This window comes from Homo sapiens, chromosome 14 (assembly GCF_000001405.40).
Source record: "Homo sapiens chromosome 14, GRCh38.p14 Primary Assembly".
Taxonomy (NCBI): Eukaryota; Metazoa; Chordata; class Mammalia; order Primates; family Hominidae; genus Homo; species Homo sapiens.
The window spans coordinates 81,221,131-81,238,888 of NC_000014.9; the positions used below are offsets into that span (position 1 = coordinate 81,221,131).

General features: G+C 42.6%; 1 protein-coding gene and 1 long non-coding RNA gene across 2 annotated transcripts in view, besides 1 other annotated feature; one reads left to right on the forward strand and one right to left on the reverse strand.

Moving 5' to 3' along the window:
• The window catches only part of GTF2A1 (general transcription factor IIA subunit 1), a 45,939-nt gene extending 45,679 nt beyond the window's left edge, over positions 1–260 (reverse strand). Inside the window, exon 1 of the mRNA NM_201595.3 lies at positions 18–260. The gene's annotated coding sequence lies outside the window, so the exon portion shown is untranslated. The remainder of the gene's footprint in view (positions 1–17) is intronic.
• On the forward strand, positions 88–2,250 carry GTF2A1-AS1 (GTF2A1 antisense RNA 1). The gene is made up of 2 exons (NR_135252.1): positions 88–395; positions 509–2,250. It is a non-coding gene; the product is annotated as a GTF2A1 antisense RNA 1 (long non-coding RNA).
• Positions 14,243–14,402: an enhancer, noted in NCBI's record as "active region_8827". NCBI's record gives its function as "activates an Ori minimal core promoter by ATAC-STARR-seq in GM12878 lymphoblastoid cells {active_cell/tissue: GM12878}" and the evidence as "EXISTENCE:reporter gene assay evidence [ECO:0000049][PMID:35858748]".

The window sequence follows — 17,758 nt, forward strand, 5'->3', positions numbered from 1 at the left end:
AGTGAAATCGGACCTACGCCTCTCCAACGCTCGCGTGATCACGTGGTTGGCACCCAGGCGGAAGTCTGCGGCAGTTCTTTGCGGTGAAGAACTTGCAAAGCGTTGCTGGAAAAGACGGGAGTTCTACTGACACTCCAGTCCAAAGCTAGGTGGGACCGCCTCCTGTCGCACGTTTCCGCCTGGTCCCGCGCTTTAGGAGCTAGGAAATGTGACAGAGGCGGTGCCTACTGCCTCGCTAGGAATGGCCGCGGAGGAGGACTGGTCACGTGGCGTGGCTTCCGGCCTCTGGCGCGTTCCTATTCGGGAAGGTTTTAAATGCGGAGTCATCTCTTGATTTGTCAGCGAGGCTTTGACTGTGAGCTTCGCGGCGTTCGCGCCTCACCGCCTCACCGAGGGTGGGTCTTTCGCGCGCAGAATTGTGTAGGATTTTCCAAAGGGAGTAAAAGCCGATCGGGGCCTACTTTTAACATTCCACAATTAGTAACGTCTGATTCGTTTGTTTCCACAGTGGGTACGCTGCGAAGACTAGGCTTATGTTACCCAGAGGTTAGTCCTCTACTAGGCCACGTACTTTAAATAATTTATCACGCTAGTGGAAATGCGGGGTGGAAGAAAACCCCACCAGCCTTTGGATTGTAACAGCACAGTAACTTTCCCTGGTTTTTAAAAATATTGCCAAAATACTGCGACTCCATGTGGCCAACGTATAGTGACTGATCACTTTGAAATGCATGCCCTTGACCCACCAACTCGCATGGCCTCTCGCTATAAGAGAGCAAGCCGGCTGTGTTCCATGTTCAATTCAATAAGTGCAATTCAATAAGCTTTTGACTTGTTCTGCCCAAGCAAATCCTGCCTTTATATCGACCTTGCAAGCAGAACAGAGAATGCTGTTTGGAAGGCAGAATTCATAGTACCTAGTTTTCTTGTCCCTGGGAATTTTGAGGGACTTGAAATGTCGCGTGGATGAGTGAGGGAGTTTGTCTTCCAGAGACAAAGCAAAACGAAACGTCAAAGTTCTGTGCTGGTGAAACCAGATTTGAAGAATATCAAAGGCGTCTTACCAAAGAGGAAAAAAAATGCATCTTGCCAAGACTTGAAGAAAGGGATTAGAGAAACCAGAGGCCTTGAATACTCAGAAAATGGGAGATTGTGAATGGGTGTAGAGGATATCTATGAACCTTGACATTTCTTTTCACGCCAAGTCCATTCCCCTGTTAACAGTTGCTTCCCAGTTTCCTGCACAGCTGCATGGTCTGGGACACTTAAAGAAAAAAATCACAGGAAATCAGTGTTCTTGGTATATTATATAAAGTTATGATTCTATCAACATTTGTAATTCATTTAATATTCAGGTGACAGCCCGAAAATTTACACTAAACAATACCATTCCTGTTAAGTTTTACTACATATTGAGAGGACTTCTTGTTACCTCCCTATTACATACTCCCAAACGCTTTGCACATGGAATCCCTCACCTTCCACCTAGTTTTCCCCCCTACTATTGATATTCTTGACTAAAAGGTTGAGTAGTTTCGCCATCAATTAAAGTTAAAACCACTGCAGACAGGACAGGGAAGAAAAGCTACGAGGTTTGCTCTTCACAGAATTAATCTGTGAAATAATGGATTGTAGTTACTGGATTAAAATGGCAGAAAACCTAGTCTTGGCCTCCTTAAGACCATCAGACTCCCTGGAGGCTCTGAGTTGGCTTCTCTCTTTACACCTAGATTGCAACAAGACCTAAGCACTTGGTTAATATTTACCCAGGAACTTAGATTGCTTGTGTGTCTGGCATCTAGCCATCATGGATTCCATTCCAATATATTGGTTTTCCAGTCCCTCAATAGCTGTTATATGCCTTCATTGCAACATATGTGTGCCATCCAGTTTAGTTTCGGAAAGAAATATTTTCTGTTATACCAAAATTGTAGGACTGAATACTTGGAAGCTGCAGCCCTTTAATTCACAAAACAAAATTTGTGAGAGAAAACTTCTCCCAAGTAAGATTACATTTAGCATCATATTTAAATTGTTTCTATCTGAACTTTTTATTCTTGGTCTCCTACAGCTTGAATGACGTTTCTAACTTTAACAGCTCTTTCTACTATATAAAACATTTATACAGGATTTGCTGTTTGTGATCTTACACTTTGTAGCAGCTATGTACTTAGATAGATACATAATAGTACTCTCCTTGTGATGAATGTTTATGTGTTTTTTTTAACTTCAAAATGATTTATACTGGGAGTTAAAATGTTGCGTCTTTCTTTTAATATGCAGCCTAAACACTAGATAACTGTAAAACAAGAGAAGAAAAGGGAAAAAAAATCGATGTATAAATTTTGCTACACCATCAACAAAATGACAGCAAACCTTCTGTGTCCAAACATTTAAATATTTTACTGTCCAAATGACTATTTTAGCAACAATGCCAAGAAAGAGAAGAGTCTAAAAAGATTGTGGAAATTGGCTTAAACTAAAATCTTGTGACTTCCCAGCAAACTCCATTTTCTTAAATAGTGAAGAAAGAAAAAAAACAAAACTAGTTTTGAGGCATATTTAGGCCCTAGTGCTCAGTATGTATTGGGCACTTTGTATGTATGTATGTATGTATGCTCAGTATGTATTGGGCACTTTGTATGTATGTATGCTCAGTGTGTATTGGGCACTTTGTATGTATGTATGTATGTATGCTCAGTATGTATTGGGCACTTTGGGAGGATACAGAATTGAAGAAGAAAGATGCCTTGAGCTTACTAATCATTTTTTTTCTTTCCTTCTTTTTTTTTTTTTTTTTTTTTGAGACAGACTCTTGCTCTGTCATCCAGACTGGCATGCAGTGGTGCGATCTCGGCTTACCGCAGCCTCTGCCTCGTGGGTTCAAGCTATTCTCCTGCCTCAGCTTTCCAAGTAGCTGGGATTACAGACTCACACCACCACGCCCAGCTAATTTTTGTAATTTTGGTAGAGACGGGGTTTCACCATTGTTGGCCAGGCTGGTTTCAAACTCCTGACCTCAGATGATCCACCTGCCTCGGCCTCCCAAAGTGCTGGGATTACAGGCGTAAGCCGCCGTGCCAAGCAAGTTTACCAATCTTAATGAAAGTCCCTGTTTTAAAGTGTAGTGCATAGTCATAGCATTCATTTAAGCTGTTGAAAGCATACATATTTCAGTCCTACCAAAAAAAATTATACTGCATTCAGATTTCACCTATGTTTTTGTCATTTTCAAAGAAACTGCCGATTTTCACATGCACAAATTTTTGATGGTGGCTATAAGAAATTGCTGACCATACAAATTAGTTCTATACATGTGATGAAGAGATTTTTTAAAATCTTTTTAAATTATCTTTGTCTGTTGTAACTTAGTTTGAAATTGCTACTTCATGTCTTAAAACACCAACCAGCTCTAAGTTATTTTCTGTAGAACAAAGTGTAGACCAGTTTGTAGTTTTTAGCAAAAGTAAATTAACTTAGTGTGGAGTTTTGGTGGAATCAGGTTTGACTCTTGCCACTAAATTCCTGTGTGACATTGTGCCATGATTCTGTGTCAATAAGGTGAAATAATCACCACCACCTATCGTTGTTGGAAAATCAAAGGTAGTAGGAAGTGCTTTGACAAGTATTTGGTGGGTGTTTTATTATTAATGGTAACTGTAACAGCTACACCAATATCATCAAAGCTGGGGAAAGATGTTCTTAAATCACTTTGTAGAACACTACCATTACATTTTAATCATGATGGCTGCATGTTGTGGTTCATGCCTGTAATCCTAGCACTTTGGGAGGCTGAGACAGGCAGATCACTTGAGGCCAGGAGTTCAAGACCAGCCTGGCCAACATGGCGAAACCCTGTGTCTACTAAAACTGCTAAAAATTAGCCAGGTATGGTGGCATGTGCCTGTAATCCCAGCTACTTGGGAGGCTGAGGCATGAGAGGCAAAGGTTGCAGTGAGCCAAGATCGTGCCTGGGCACCAGAGCTGGAGACACACTCTGTCTCAAAAAAACAACAACAGCTGGGAGTGGTGGCTCAGGTCTGTAATCCCAGCACTTTGGGAGGCTGAGGTGGGTGGATCACTTGAGGTCAGAAGTTTGAGACCAGCCTGGCCAGCATGGTGAAAACCCATCTCTACTAAAAATACAAAAATTAGCTGGGTATGCTGGTGCCTACTTGTAATCCCAACTACTCAGGAGGCTGAGGCACGAGAATCACTTGAACCCAGAGGCTGCAGTGAGCCAAGATTGCACCACTGTACTCCAGCCTGGGTGACAGAGCGAGACCCTGTCTCAAAAAAAAAATTTTTTTTTAAATAATGATGTCAGTGGCCAATGCTTACTTTACAAGAAACTCAGCCAAATTTTGATAACTCAAGTGGTGAATATCTAACAGCATCCCAGCCTCACAATGCATTTTAAAACTTGTTTTTTCTTTCTTGCTTGCCTTCAGCCTTGAAACATACTTTGAAACTGTTTGTCCCTTTCCCACCAGCCTTTTCTGAGAACAGGGCTCACTTATCTTAATGATGTGCTTGCTTAAAAATTCCAGGGGCCAATTTTGAAACAAACTAGACAGAGAGACCCCAACTGCAGAATCCTCCTGCTCAAGGGGGATTAGGAACCATTAGCCCAGCACTACCAGCTGAGGTCAGGATGACATGAACTGGGCCTTCAGGCAGGCAGTTACTGAAGATGACCGTCAGAAGAAGACACACAGACCTACACCTTCCTGCGCTACTCCTGCATATTTCCCACACCTTTTTGCTTCTTAAACCCCTTCACTCACTCCAAAAAGTTGGAGTGATCTGTTAAAGGCATGAGCCTGTCCATCCCCCAACTGCTAACATTGGAATAAAGTTGCTTTCCTTTCACTACACGTCGCTTCTCATGCTTTCAGCCTCTGAGCAATGAGCAGTCAGACTTGAGCTGGTTATAAGTACGGAGCATATATATATATATATATATTTTTTTTTTTTTTTTTTTTTTTTGGAGATTGAGTCTCACTCTGTTTCCTAGGCTAGAGTGCAGTGGCTCGATCTTGGCTCACTGAAACCTCTGCCCCAACAGGTTCAAGCAGTTCTCCTGCGTCAGCCTCCCAAGTAGCTGGGATTACAGGCGCCTGCCACCGTGCCCTGCTAATTTTTGTATTTTTGGTAGAGACAGGGTTTCACCATCTTGGCCAGGCTGGTCTTGAACTCCTGACCTTGTGATCCACCCGCCTTGGCCTCCCAAAGTGCTGGGATTACAGGTGTGAGCCACCGCGCCCAGCCCACAGCATAATTTTTGTATGTTAATATAATGAGATGATTCCTTAAGCTGAAAGCTGATTTATTGATTAAATATATCAGATTGCTTAGTTACACATGTGCCCAACTATATGTAGTAAAAGTTATGTATGAATTTGCCCATTGACCTAGCAATGCCAAATCTAGGACTCTGTCCCACAGATACTGTAGCAAAAATAAGAAAAGATGTATGCCTCAGACTATTTGTTGTAGGACTGCATTAACACCCATCCTACCATATAAACTATATTTACTTTATATAAAAAGTAAATATTTTATATAAGAAGATTATATAATACGTCCATGTCCCACATGTCCATATAAGGAGGTTGGTTGAATAAACTATAGTACATGCACACAGGTGAGGACTATGCAGCTGGAAGAAGAAATAAGGAATATATATATATATATATATATATATATGCCCACTATGGATTGATCTTTGGAATATAATGCTGAATGAAAAAAGCAAGATGTGGAAAAGTATTCTTTGCCTCCATTTAAGAAAAGAGAAAATACAAAAATGTGTGTAATATACTTGCTTACTATTTTTTTTTTAAAGGAAATATGGCCAGACACGGTGGCTCACACCTGTAATCCTAGAACTTTGGGAGGCTGAGGAGGGCAGATCACCTGAGGTCAGAAGTTCAAGACCAGCCTGGTCAACATGGCAAAACCCTGTCTCTACTAAAAATACAAAAATTAACTGGGCACAATGGCGGGCATCTGAAATCCCAGCTACTCGGGAGGCTGAGGCAGGAGAATCATTTGAACCAGGGAGGTGGAAGTTACAGTGATCTGAGATCACACCACTGCACTCCAGCCTGGGTGACAGAGCATGACTCCCTCTCAAAAAAAAAAAAAGGAAATATAAACCATATGTATGTATCTTTAAAGGTTACCTATAAGGACTGGGAGAGAAGAGTATGGAGAAGACAGAAAAAAAAGCGTTATTTAAATGTACTTTGTTTTTTAGATTTGACTGAAAACACACATTTTACTTAGTTTTTTAAAAATCAACTTTTGAAAAGCAATTCCCCAAACTAAAAATTAAGTTACTTAACCTAACCGGATATTACATAACACACAAAGAACTTTTTCAAGTGACTTTCAAACACAATAATTTGACTAGATATCCATAGTGGGATATTTTTAAGGAGAAAAAGAAATGTCCAAAAACATTTAAGTGTTTGCATTTGTATTGTTGGTGATAATGTTTGGAAATGTATTTTGATAATTTTATGTGAAATGTGGATTAAAGAATACGAGTAATTATATTATGTTCTAATTATCTAATCCCAATTGTTCTTGAGAACCAGGCTCTCAATAGATTGGATAAGGCCTACCTGCATTATTGAGGGCAATCTTATTTACTCATTCACAATGCTAATCTCTTATCATATGGGAGAAAGACGATGCAGATGTAAGGTACAGGAGGATAAGTACAAATTCTGTAGTCCTGAATTTGAATTAGAAGTATCATGGTGAATTTTGTCAAAATTCCCTGCTGGCTCTGAAGAGGCCTAGAAACAATTACCAACACAGTAGTAATGAGTATATTTGGTACCTAAATTATAAGATTTCAAGACCAGTGCTCTGTGGAGAAATGTCTGATTCTGATTCCAAGTCAAGAGCAGGAAATGTCTTTTCTTAACAACAAAAAAAACCCAAACTCAATGTTTCATCTTATAAAATATATTTGTCCCCATAAAAGCTAAAACAAACCATGACCAGTCCAGTGCTCCAGAATTTGGGAGCACCTCTTGCTCCCAGATCATTATCTTGAAATACTATTTTCCAAGGAATAATGGCTCTTCAGAGATATTACTGACTCTAGGACTGGGATTAAAAAAATGTTTAAACCAAATGAAATTACCAATTATTGCCCAAAATAAGACAAAGTGACTCTAGAATATCTTTTCATGTGGATAACAAGTAAGGTGTATTTGTTTCCCAGGGCTGTTGTATCAAAGTGCCACAAACTAGGTAGCTTAAAACAACAAGAATTTGGCCGGGCACGGTGGCTAACACCTGTAATCCCAGCACTTTGGGAGGTCGAGGCAAGTGGATCACGAGGTCAGGAGATCGAGACCATCCTGGCTAATACGGTGAAACCCCGTCTGTACTGAAAATACAAAAAAATAGCTGGCCGTGGTGGCAGAGGCCTGTAGTCCCAGCTGCTCGGGAGGCTGAGGCAGGAGAATGGCGTGAACCCGGGAGGCAGAGCTTGCAGTGAGCCGAGATGCACCACTGCACTCCAGCCTGGGCGACAGAGTGAGATTCTGTCTCAAAAAACAAACAAACAAAAAACAACAAAAACAAACAAAAAAACAAGAATTTATTGTCTGACAGTTTTGGAAGCTAGCAGTTTAAAACCAAGGTGTCGGGCGGGGGGGCGCGGTGGCTCATGCCTGTAATCCCAGCACTTTGGGAGGCTGAGGCAGGCGGATCACGAGGTCAGGAGATCGAGACCATCCTGGCTAGCACAGTGAAACCCTGTCTCTATTAAAAAAAAATACAAAAAAAATAGCCAGGCGTGGTGGCACATGCCTGTAGTCCCAGCTACTCGGGAGGCTGAGGCAGGAGAATGGCATGAACCCAGGAGGTGGAGGTTACAGTGAGCCAAGATCACGCCACTGCACTCCAGCCTGGGCGACAGAGTGAGACTCCGTCTCAAAAAACAAAAACAAAAACAAAAAAACCAAGGTGTCAGTAGGTCCATGCTTTCCCTAACACTGGGTAGAATCCTTATGTGATAGTTAATGTTATGTATTAACTTGACTGAGCTAAGGGATGCCTAGATAGCTGGTGAAAACATTACTTCTGGGTGTGTCTGTGAGGGTGTTACTGGATAATATTAGCAATTAAATCAGTAGACTGAGTAAAGAAGATTGCCCTCACCAGTGTAGGCAGGCATCATCCAGTCTGCTGAGGGCATGAATAGAACCACACATTGAAAGAGTGAATTCATTCTCTCTGTTTGAGCTGAAACAGCCATCTTTTTCTATTCTTGGACATCAGCTCTTCTTGTTCTCAGGCCTTTACATATGGACTAAATTTCAGTAGTCCCCCCTTATACATGGTTTTGCTTTCTGAAGTTTCAGCTATCTGCAGTCAACAGAGGTCCAAAAATATTACATCATCACTCTTGCGCTTTGGAGCCATTATTAAGTAAAATAAGGATTACTTAAATACAAGTATTGTGATACTGGGCCAGTTGATCTGATAACCTGTACGGCTAAGTGACTAATTGTAATTGGGTTGGACAGAGCAGGACAGTGTGAGAGTTTATCATGATATTCAGAACAGCATGTAATTTAAAACTTACGAATTGCTTATTTCTGGTAATTTCATTTATATCACAATGTCCGTGTCATTCATGATATTCAGAACAGTGTGTAATTTAAAATGTATGAATTATTTCTGGAAATTTCATCAGAAATTTTATAATCTCACATCATAACATGAAGAAGATAGGTGAGTGTATAGTACGCTATGATAATTTGAGAACGTTAGAGCAAGTAAGAGACAGCACATAACTTTTATTATGGTATATTGTTATCATTGTTCTGTTTTATGTTATTGTGGTTAATCTCTTGCTGTGCCTAATTTATAAATTAAGCTTTATAATATGTATATACAGGAAAAAATAGCGTATATAGGGTTTGGTACTCTGTAGTTTCAGGCAGCCACTGGGGGTCTTGGAAAACCCATAGGTAAGTGGGGACTACTATACACTATTGGCTTTTCTGGTTCTCTGGATGTAAAAGGCAGATCATGGGACTTCTTGGCCTCCATCATCATGTGAGCCAATTCCCAATGTGTGTGTGGGTGTGTGTATGTGTGCATGTGTGTGTGTGTGTTTGTGTGTGTAATCTCCAGTGGTTCTCTTTCCCTGGAGAACTCTGACCAATAAAATATTTTGGTACTGAGAGTGGTTCTAGAGGAACAGAAAGTACTGATAGTCCAGGGAGTGAACTGTTTCTAGAGATATATAAAATATCTGCATTGGATACTCCTAACTAATAAGAAGCAAAGAGCTAAGTAACTCTGTATATGATACTTTTGAACATTTTTGGACAATGGAAAATAAGGAATATAATGACATTGGTTTGTTGCTTCTAATGTAGGACCAAGTGGTAAAAGAAAAGGAGGGGCTCAGGATTCAAATTTCCAGCTCACTCACTGTATAAATGACTTAAAAACTTGTAGTTGTGCCCTAAGAAATCATTAACTCCTGTAGCCACAGGGCTAAAATTGCTGAAAATCAAACCCAGGATCTCATTGTGCAATTGGCTGAATTACAAAGCAAGTTGAACTCCCAGCCTCACGTGATATCTACTGTTAAAGTGATGGCATTGGTTGAGAAAAAGTGGGATCCTGTAAGATGGGATGGGGATATGTAGGAAGAGCCTGATGAAGCTACAGACATTGAGACCCTAAATTCTGATGCATCTTCTTTGCCAGTGGAAGAGGTTTCTCCATCCCCAGCAAAAGTAACCTTCCCAATCCCAGTGAAAGTGGCCTCCCCACCCTAAATGGCATAGGTCTCCCCACCTCTGGTGGTAGCAGCCTTCCCACCCACAGTGGTTTCCGTATTTCTACCTCAGTCTGAGGTATTTAACCCTGAGGAAGCAGTAATGGCTTCCTCTGAGGCAGTTGCTATGCAAGACAGTGCTGGTTCTTCTCAGGATCTAATCTACCCCTGCCATCCCTGAAGGGCCTACTTTGAGTTAAAAAGTGTGACCCATGAGAAGGTGCACTACATTCCAAAAGAACTACTTGAGTTTTCTGATTTATATAAGGAGAAATCTGGGGAACATATATGGGAATGAATATTAAGAGTGTAGGAGAATAGTAGAAGAAACAAAGTTGAATCAGGCTGAATGTATAGATATGGGCTCACTAAGTTGAGATTCTGCATTTAATATTACAGAAATATTACATTATTTCTAAATCAGAGAGTTAGAAAGGGCTCTAACAGTTTGGTTGGTTGCTGAAACATGGGTCAAAAAGTGGCCCACCAAGAGTGAGTTGGAGATGACTGATGTCTCTTAATTTAATATAGAGGAATGGATTCAAAGGGTTAGGGAGATTAAAATGTTAGAGTGGATTTGTCATTTAAGACCTATTTACCACACTGGGTGGGTCCAGAAGACATACTTTTCACCAATACTTTGAGAAATAAATTCATAAGGGGAGCCCTAGCATCCTGGAAGAGCTCCATGATTACTCTTCTCTATAGGATAGACCTTACAGAGGGAACCACAGCCATTCAGTTGGAAAATGTAAACAGAGTGAGAGTAATTGGATCTCAGGGTGACAGGGGCCAAGGGTCAGCACTCAGGTAACAAAGGCAAAGTGGATGTAGTTATTGTAATGCCCAGCAGAGTCAAAGCAGCAATCACCGTAGTCTGACACACAGGGACCTATGGTGTTAGCTAGTTATCCATGGTGTTCCTAGATGTGAAATAGATAGGAAGCCTACTAAATTCTTACTTGGTCTGTATGAGCAGAAAAGTTCCAGGTTAAGTGAAAAAAAAGTCTAAGTTGAATTATAAAACAGAGAGTCATAAACCCCCATTCAATTCCCAGAGTTTAGCCAGTTTATAGACCCAGAGCCCTTTGGACAAAGAGCAGTCAGGTCCCATCAAGAGAAGACCCTGGTGCACTACTGAAAATTGATACTGTTAATGCTTAGCCCAGCCTTCTCCAAAGGGACTTACACAATTTTACCAGAGTAACCGTGCATGGGTTTCCGGCAGGGGGGTGGGTGGGGGGCAGGGAGCGGGTGGAGGAATCAGAACTTTAAGGGACTACTGGACACTGGCTCTGAACTGACAGTGACTCCAGGAGACCCCAAACATCACTGTGGCCCTCCAGTCACAATAGGAATATATGGAGGTCAAGTGATCAATGGATTTTTAGCTCAGGTCCTAAAGTTTTAGCTTTAGGAGGTTTAGCACAGTACATCCAGTGAGTCCTCAGACCTATCCTGCAGTTTTTTCTTCAGTTCCAGAATGCACAATGGAAGTAGACATACTTAACAACTGGCATAATCCTTACTTTGGTTCCCTGACCTGTGTGTGGAGTGGGGACTATAATGGTGATAAAAGCCAAGTGGACGCCATTAAAACTACTTCTATCTTGGAAAAGTGTAAATCAAACATAATACCACATCCTTGGAAGGGTTGTAGAGATTAGTGCCACCATCAAGGACTTGAAAGATGCAGGGGTGGTGATTCCCATCACATCTCCATTCAACTCTCCTATTTGGCCTATGCAAAAGATGGATGGATTTTAGAGAACAAGTGGATTATAAGCTTAACCAAATGGTGACTTCACTTGGAGCTGCTGTAGATATGGTTTCATGGCTTGAGCAAATTGACACATCTCCTGGTACCTGGTGGGCAGCTATTGATATGGCAAATGCATTTTTCTCCATCCCTATACACAAGGCCCATCAGAAGCAGTCTGATTTCAGTTGGCAAGGTCGGCAATACACCTTCATCATGTTACCTCAGTGATACATCAAGTCTCTAGCCCTATGTCATAATTTAGTTAGCAGAGATCTTGTCTACTGTTTCCTTCCACAAAATATCACACTGGCCCTTTACATTAATGACATTGTTAAAAGGAAAACTTTAGCCAAATTAAATTTAAAAGAGTTTAATTGAGTAAAGAATGATTCGTGAATTGGGCAGTGCCATGAGCCAGAGTAGGCTCAGACCCTAGTGCACCCCTGTAGCAGAAGGTTTATGGACAAAGGAAAGTGGTGCACAGAAAATCAAAGTGAGGTACAGAAACAGATGAATTGGTTACAGCTCAGTGTTACCCGTATTTGAACACAGTTTGAACAGTTGGCCATATTTGATTGGCCAAAACTTGCTGACTGATATAAGAGTAGGCTACGGTCTATATACAACTCCATTTAGGTTATAGTTCATGATGTACACAGACACCTTTAGGCTGAAGTTAAAATATGTAAGGAAGAAGGTTTAGGCTAAACTTGATTTAACAACATTATACTGATTGGACCTAGTGAGTGAGAAGTGGCAACTACTCTTAGACTTGTAAAACAGTTGTGTGTCCAAGAATGGGAGATAAACCTGACTAAAATTCAGAGGCCTTCTATCTCAATTAAATTTCTAGGGGTTCAGTTGTGTGAGGCATACTGAGATAGCCCTTCCAAAGTGAAGGATAAGTTGTTGCCTTTGGCCCCCCCTACAGCCAAGAAAGAATTGTAACCTCTAGTGGGCCTATTTAGATTTTAGGTGCAACCTATTCCTTATTTGGATTTGTTACTCTAGCCCATTTACCAAGTGACCCAAAAAGCTGCTAGTTTTGAGTAGGGCCCAGAACAGGAAAAGGCTCTGCAAGAGATCCATACTGCTGTGCAAGCTGCTTTGCCACTGGGGCCATATGATCCAGCCGATCCAGTATTGCCTGAAGTCTCAGTGGCAGACAGGAATGCTGATGGAGTCTTTGGAAGGCTCCTGTAGGTGAACTGCAGTGCAGCCCTTTAGGATTTTAGATCAGGACCCTGCCATTTTCTGCAGATAACTATTCTTCTTTTGAGAGACAGCTCTTGGCCTGTTACTGGGCCTTAGTAGAACCTGAGTGCTTGACCATGGGCTACCAATTACTGTGTGACCTGAGCTGCCCTTCATGAACTGGGCATTATTTGACCTGCCAAGCCATAAAGTTTAGTGTACACAGCAGCACTCCATCATCATGTTGGTCAGGCTGATCTCGAACTCCTGTTACTTTTGAACATCCTAGTCATTAATATATGGCTCTGAAAAGGGGGAAAAAAAGAAAAATAAATGGAGTAGGGGGTGCCAGCCCTTTTAATCCCCTGGAAGTTGCTTCAGCTGGAGGGGGAGGGGCATACAACAGTTGGGAGAGGTCAACAATGGCTACCTGCCTCTGTCTGCACCTTTGTGAATCAGAAACAGCAATCAGTGATTAAAGTCCAGATCCCTGATATTTGGAGGAAAGGGTCCTTTTTACTCACCCTGGCATCTGCAAGCTATATGAAAGCTGCTCCTGGAATGTGTGCATGGCTGCTTGCCAAAGGGCTGGGGGGTGGGGGATGGGTAGCTGCTACTGTGCTAAGCTAAAATTGACCAGAATTAACTGCAATTTACCATCCAAGCCTTCCCTGGAAGCTGCAAGCCTTCAACAGACACTAGAGTTTCAAAATAGGTAAGACAGATTCCCTCAGTGCAATTGTTGTCAAGTTGGGGAGACAGATTTCAGGTGCTCTCTACTCTGCTATCTTCCCAGAGTCCTCTCTTCTAATAATTTTTTGAAGGTGGTATTTATTAGAGACTATTTCCTAACTGTTGGAAAAATCCAACAGAAAATCAAAACATAATAGTACAAGAGAAAGTGCTTATTACAGACATCTGTCCTTGAGAAAGGCTGAAGATAGGCTTTAGAGGTGTTCATCTTTGCTAGGAACATCTTTTGCTTTTGTGTACTGTAAAAGGAGAAAAAAATGTGGGCAAAGAAAGTCAGAATTGAAATGAGAGAAAAGAATGTTAGAATGAGCTAGTAGATTTAGTGGGGAAAGAAAAGTAACTCCCTGGGATTGCTTTCACTTTTTCTATAGAATACAAGAGAAAGTTACCAGCTGAGAGTGAGGTGTAAAAGATACTAAGGGATTGTGAGAAGTTTGAGAAAAGAGGAGAACACCCAAAATAGCCATTTCTTGAGAGCAGAAGATCAAATGTATTAAATACGGGTATAAGTTTGTTATGTAGAATTGATTGCTCACTTGAGATTTGGAGTGAGAATCATCATGGCTGCATACTTTGATCTGTTAGTTACTTGTGGGAAAGCACAGACTAGGTGGGCGTTTAGGCTTAAGTAATGTGCAGACATCACTAACTGTCCCCAAATAGTCACATCCTCTTTTCTTTTAATAATAGAATGCCCTGAGTTTTAGCCAGTTGTCTTATTTCATTTGTGCTGCTACAACAAGATACCTGAGACTGGGTGACTTATAAAGAACAGAAACTTACTTTTCACAGTACTGAGGGCTGGGAGTCCAAGATTAAGGAGCTGATAGGTTCAGTGTCTGGTGAGAACCTGGACTCAGCTTCCAAGATAGCGTCTTCTGGAAGGGAAGAATGCCATGTCTTCACATGATGGAAGGAATGAAAGGGTTGGAAAAGAGTGAACTTTCCCCCTTCAAGTCTTTTATAAAGGCATTTATCCATTTATAAGGGCAGAGCCCTCATTATCTAAATAACTCCCCAAAGGCCCCACTTCCCAGCTGATCCAATAGGGTGCGAAATGTGATGTGTGCAACTCCTGAGTCATCTTCATAAAGAGGAGACCACTTGCCCTGATCTCAGTGAGTGACTATGATGATAGTCCATTGAATCTAAGGGGTTCAATGAGATGTGTGTCTTTGAAAGGGCAATAGATAATGAAAAAATAATAGACTCAGTGAATTGGAAGTTGTAATGAAATAAAATTTTGAAGTGAGATATTAGATAAATTGAGAGGTGACAACGTGCTAGCAGCCCTCGCTCTCCGTGCCTCCTCGGCCTCAGCGTCCACTCTGGCCATGCTCGAGGAGCCCTTCAGCCCGCCACTGCGCTGTGGGGGCCCCTCTCTGGACTAGCCGAGGCTGGAGCCGGCTCCCTCTGCTTGCAGGGAGATGTGAAGGGAGAGGCGCAGGCGGGAACCGGGGCTGCGCATGGTGCTCATGGGCCAGTGCCAGTTCTGGCCGGGCACGGGCTCAGCAGGCCCCACACTCAGAGCAGCCGGCTGGGGGCACCGGGCAGTGAGGGGCTTAGCACCTGGGCCAGCAGCTGTGGAGGGTGCGCCGGTTTCCCCAGCACTGCCGGCCAGCCCGTGCCGCCCTTGAATTCTCACCGGGCCTCAGCCACCTCCTGATGGGGCAGGGCTCGGGACCTGCAGCCCGCTATGCCCATGCACCACCCCCTGTGGGCTCCCACGTGGCCTGAGCCCCCCGCCACCCCCTGCTCTGTGGCACCCGGTCCCATTGACCACCCAAGGGCTGAGGAGTGTGGGTGCCTGGTGCGGGACTGGCGGGCAGCTCCACCAGCGTCCCAGGTGCAGGATCCACTAGGCGCAGGATCCGCTAGGGGAAGCCAGCTGGGCTCCTGAGTTGGGTGGGAAGTTCCAGAACTTTTATGTCTAGCTGGAGGATTGTATATGCACCAATCAGCACTGTGTATTTAGCTTGGGGTTTGTGGATACACCAATCAGCACTGTGTATCTAGCTAATCTGGTGGGGACTTGGAGAACTTTTATGTCTAGCTAAAGGATGGTAAATACACCAGTCAGCACTCTGTGTCTAGCTCAAGGTTTGTAAATGCACCAAACAGCACTCTGTGTCTAGCTCAAGGTTTGTAAACACACCAATCAGCACCCTGTGTCTAGCTCAAGGTTTGTAAATGTACCAATCAGTGCTCTGTGTCTAGTTAATCTAGGGGGACTTGGAGAACTTTTATATCTAAGTAGAGGATGGTAAATACACCAATCAGCACTCTGTGTCTAGCTCAGGGATTATAAACGCACCAATCAGCACCCTGTCAAAACAGACCAATCAGCTCTCTGTAAAATGGACCAATCAGCTCTCTGTACAATGGACCAATCAGCTCTCTGTAAAATGGGCCAATCAGCAGGATGTGGGTGGGGTCAGATAAGGGAACGAAAGCAGGCTGCCCCAGCCAGCAGTGGCAAGCTGCTTGGGTCTCCTTCCATGCTGTGGAAGCTTTGTTGTTTTGCTCTTTGCAATAAATCTTGCTGCTGCTCACTCTTTGGGTGCACACTGCCTTTATGAGTTGTAACACTCACCGGGAAGGTCTGCAGCTTCACTCCTGAGGCCAGCGAGACCATGAACCCACCAGGAGGAATGAACAACTCCAGACGGGAGGAGCAAAGAACTTCAGACGCACCGCCTTAACAGCTGTAACACTCACCTGGAAGGTCTGCAGCTTCACTCCTGAAGCCAGCAAGACCACGAACCCACCAGAAGGAAGAAACTCTGAACGTGTCCAAATGTCAGCAGGAACAAACTCCAGACACACCATCTTTAAGAACTGTAACACTCACCGTGAGGGTCCGTGGCTTCATTCTTGAAGTCAGTGAGACCAAGAACCCACCAATTTCGGACACAAAATCACTTGAAAGATAGGGATAGTGGTCAGAGAGTGAAGTGCTTGGATCAAAGAGTATAATTATTGGGCAAATTTATGCCTGTAGAAGTGGGCAGCTGATGTGAGATTTAAAAAAAATTAGAGTTGAGGAGGTCAAGGAACTAAGAGGCCTCATTGTTGATTTGATCATATATCAAGATTGGCGATGTGAACCCTGACTATCTGAGACAGGTCTCAGTTAATTTAGAAAGTGTATTTTGCCAACGTTGAGTATGTGTGCCCATGACACAGCCTCAAGAGGTCCTGATGACATGTGGCCAAGGTGGTCAGAGCAGTTTGGTTTTATACATTTTAGGGAGACATGAGACATCAATCAACATAAGATGTAAAATGAACATTGGTTCATCTGGAAAGGCAGGACAACAGGGAGGGAGTTTCCATGTCATAGGTAGGTAAGAGACAAATGGTTGCATTATTTTGAGTTTCTGATTAGCCTCTCCAAAGGAGGCAATCAGGTAAGTATTTATCTCAGTGAGCAGAGGGGTGACTTTGAACAGAATGGGAGGCAGATTTGCCCTAAGCAGTTCCCAGCTTGGGTTTTCCCTTTAGTTTAGTGACTTGGGGGCCCAAAGGTTTATTTTCCTTTCACAGTGACAGGAGTAGGGATGAATAGAAAGAAAGAGAGCCAGGTGCTAAAATCCTGAGTGAATAAGGAGAGGCTTAAATGTCAGCAGTATAGCAATATTTGGGGTTGTAGCATCTGATAGCATAAACTTCAAAGGATTTAAATTTTTTAAGAGGAAAGAGAACAACTTATAAAGCTGCAATAGGAATCAAGAAGGATACTGGTCTTACGTCTCATCTTCAAACCCAGAGGTGCATGGTATAAGAGTGGGAAAAAACAAAAACAAAAACGCATCCCTTGCAGAGTACTGCAGGGCAACCAGTGCCCTTAGGGAACAATTGGCTTTCAGTCAGGGCATGAAATTAAGGGAAAGCTCAGAGAAAATATTATAGATGTTGTTAAGAGATCATGAGTCTCTGAGGGCACAGGAAGTTTTCAGGCAATTAGGAACAAGTGGGAGAGGGGGCCATATGAATGGATCAATTGAGGTAGAATGGTGAGAAGTGTTTGAACCTCTACTGGTGCAAAAGGCAAATGGACATGTGAGACATGTTGATATAGTGATCCTAAGGGGCAATCAGAGGAGGGTTGGAAATTGGCTTAAGATAAAAAGACTAGATGCCCCATCACTCTTGCAGTCAGTAGTGGTCTGGCAGATACAGGGATGAGTAAAGATATCTGAGATGTTGATCTGTCAATGGTAAGG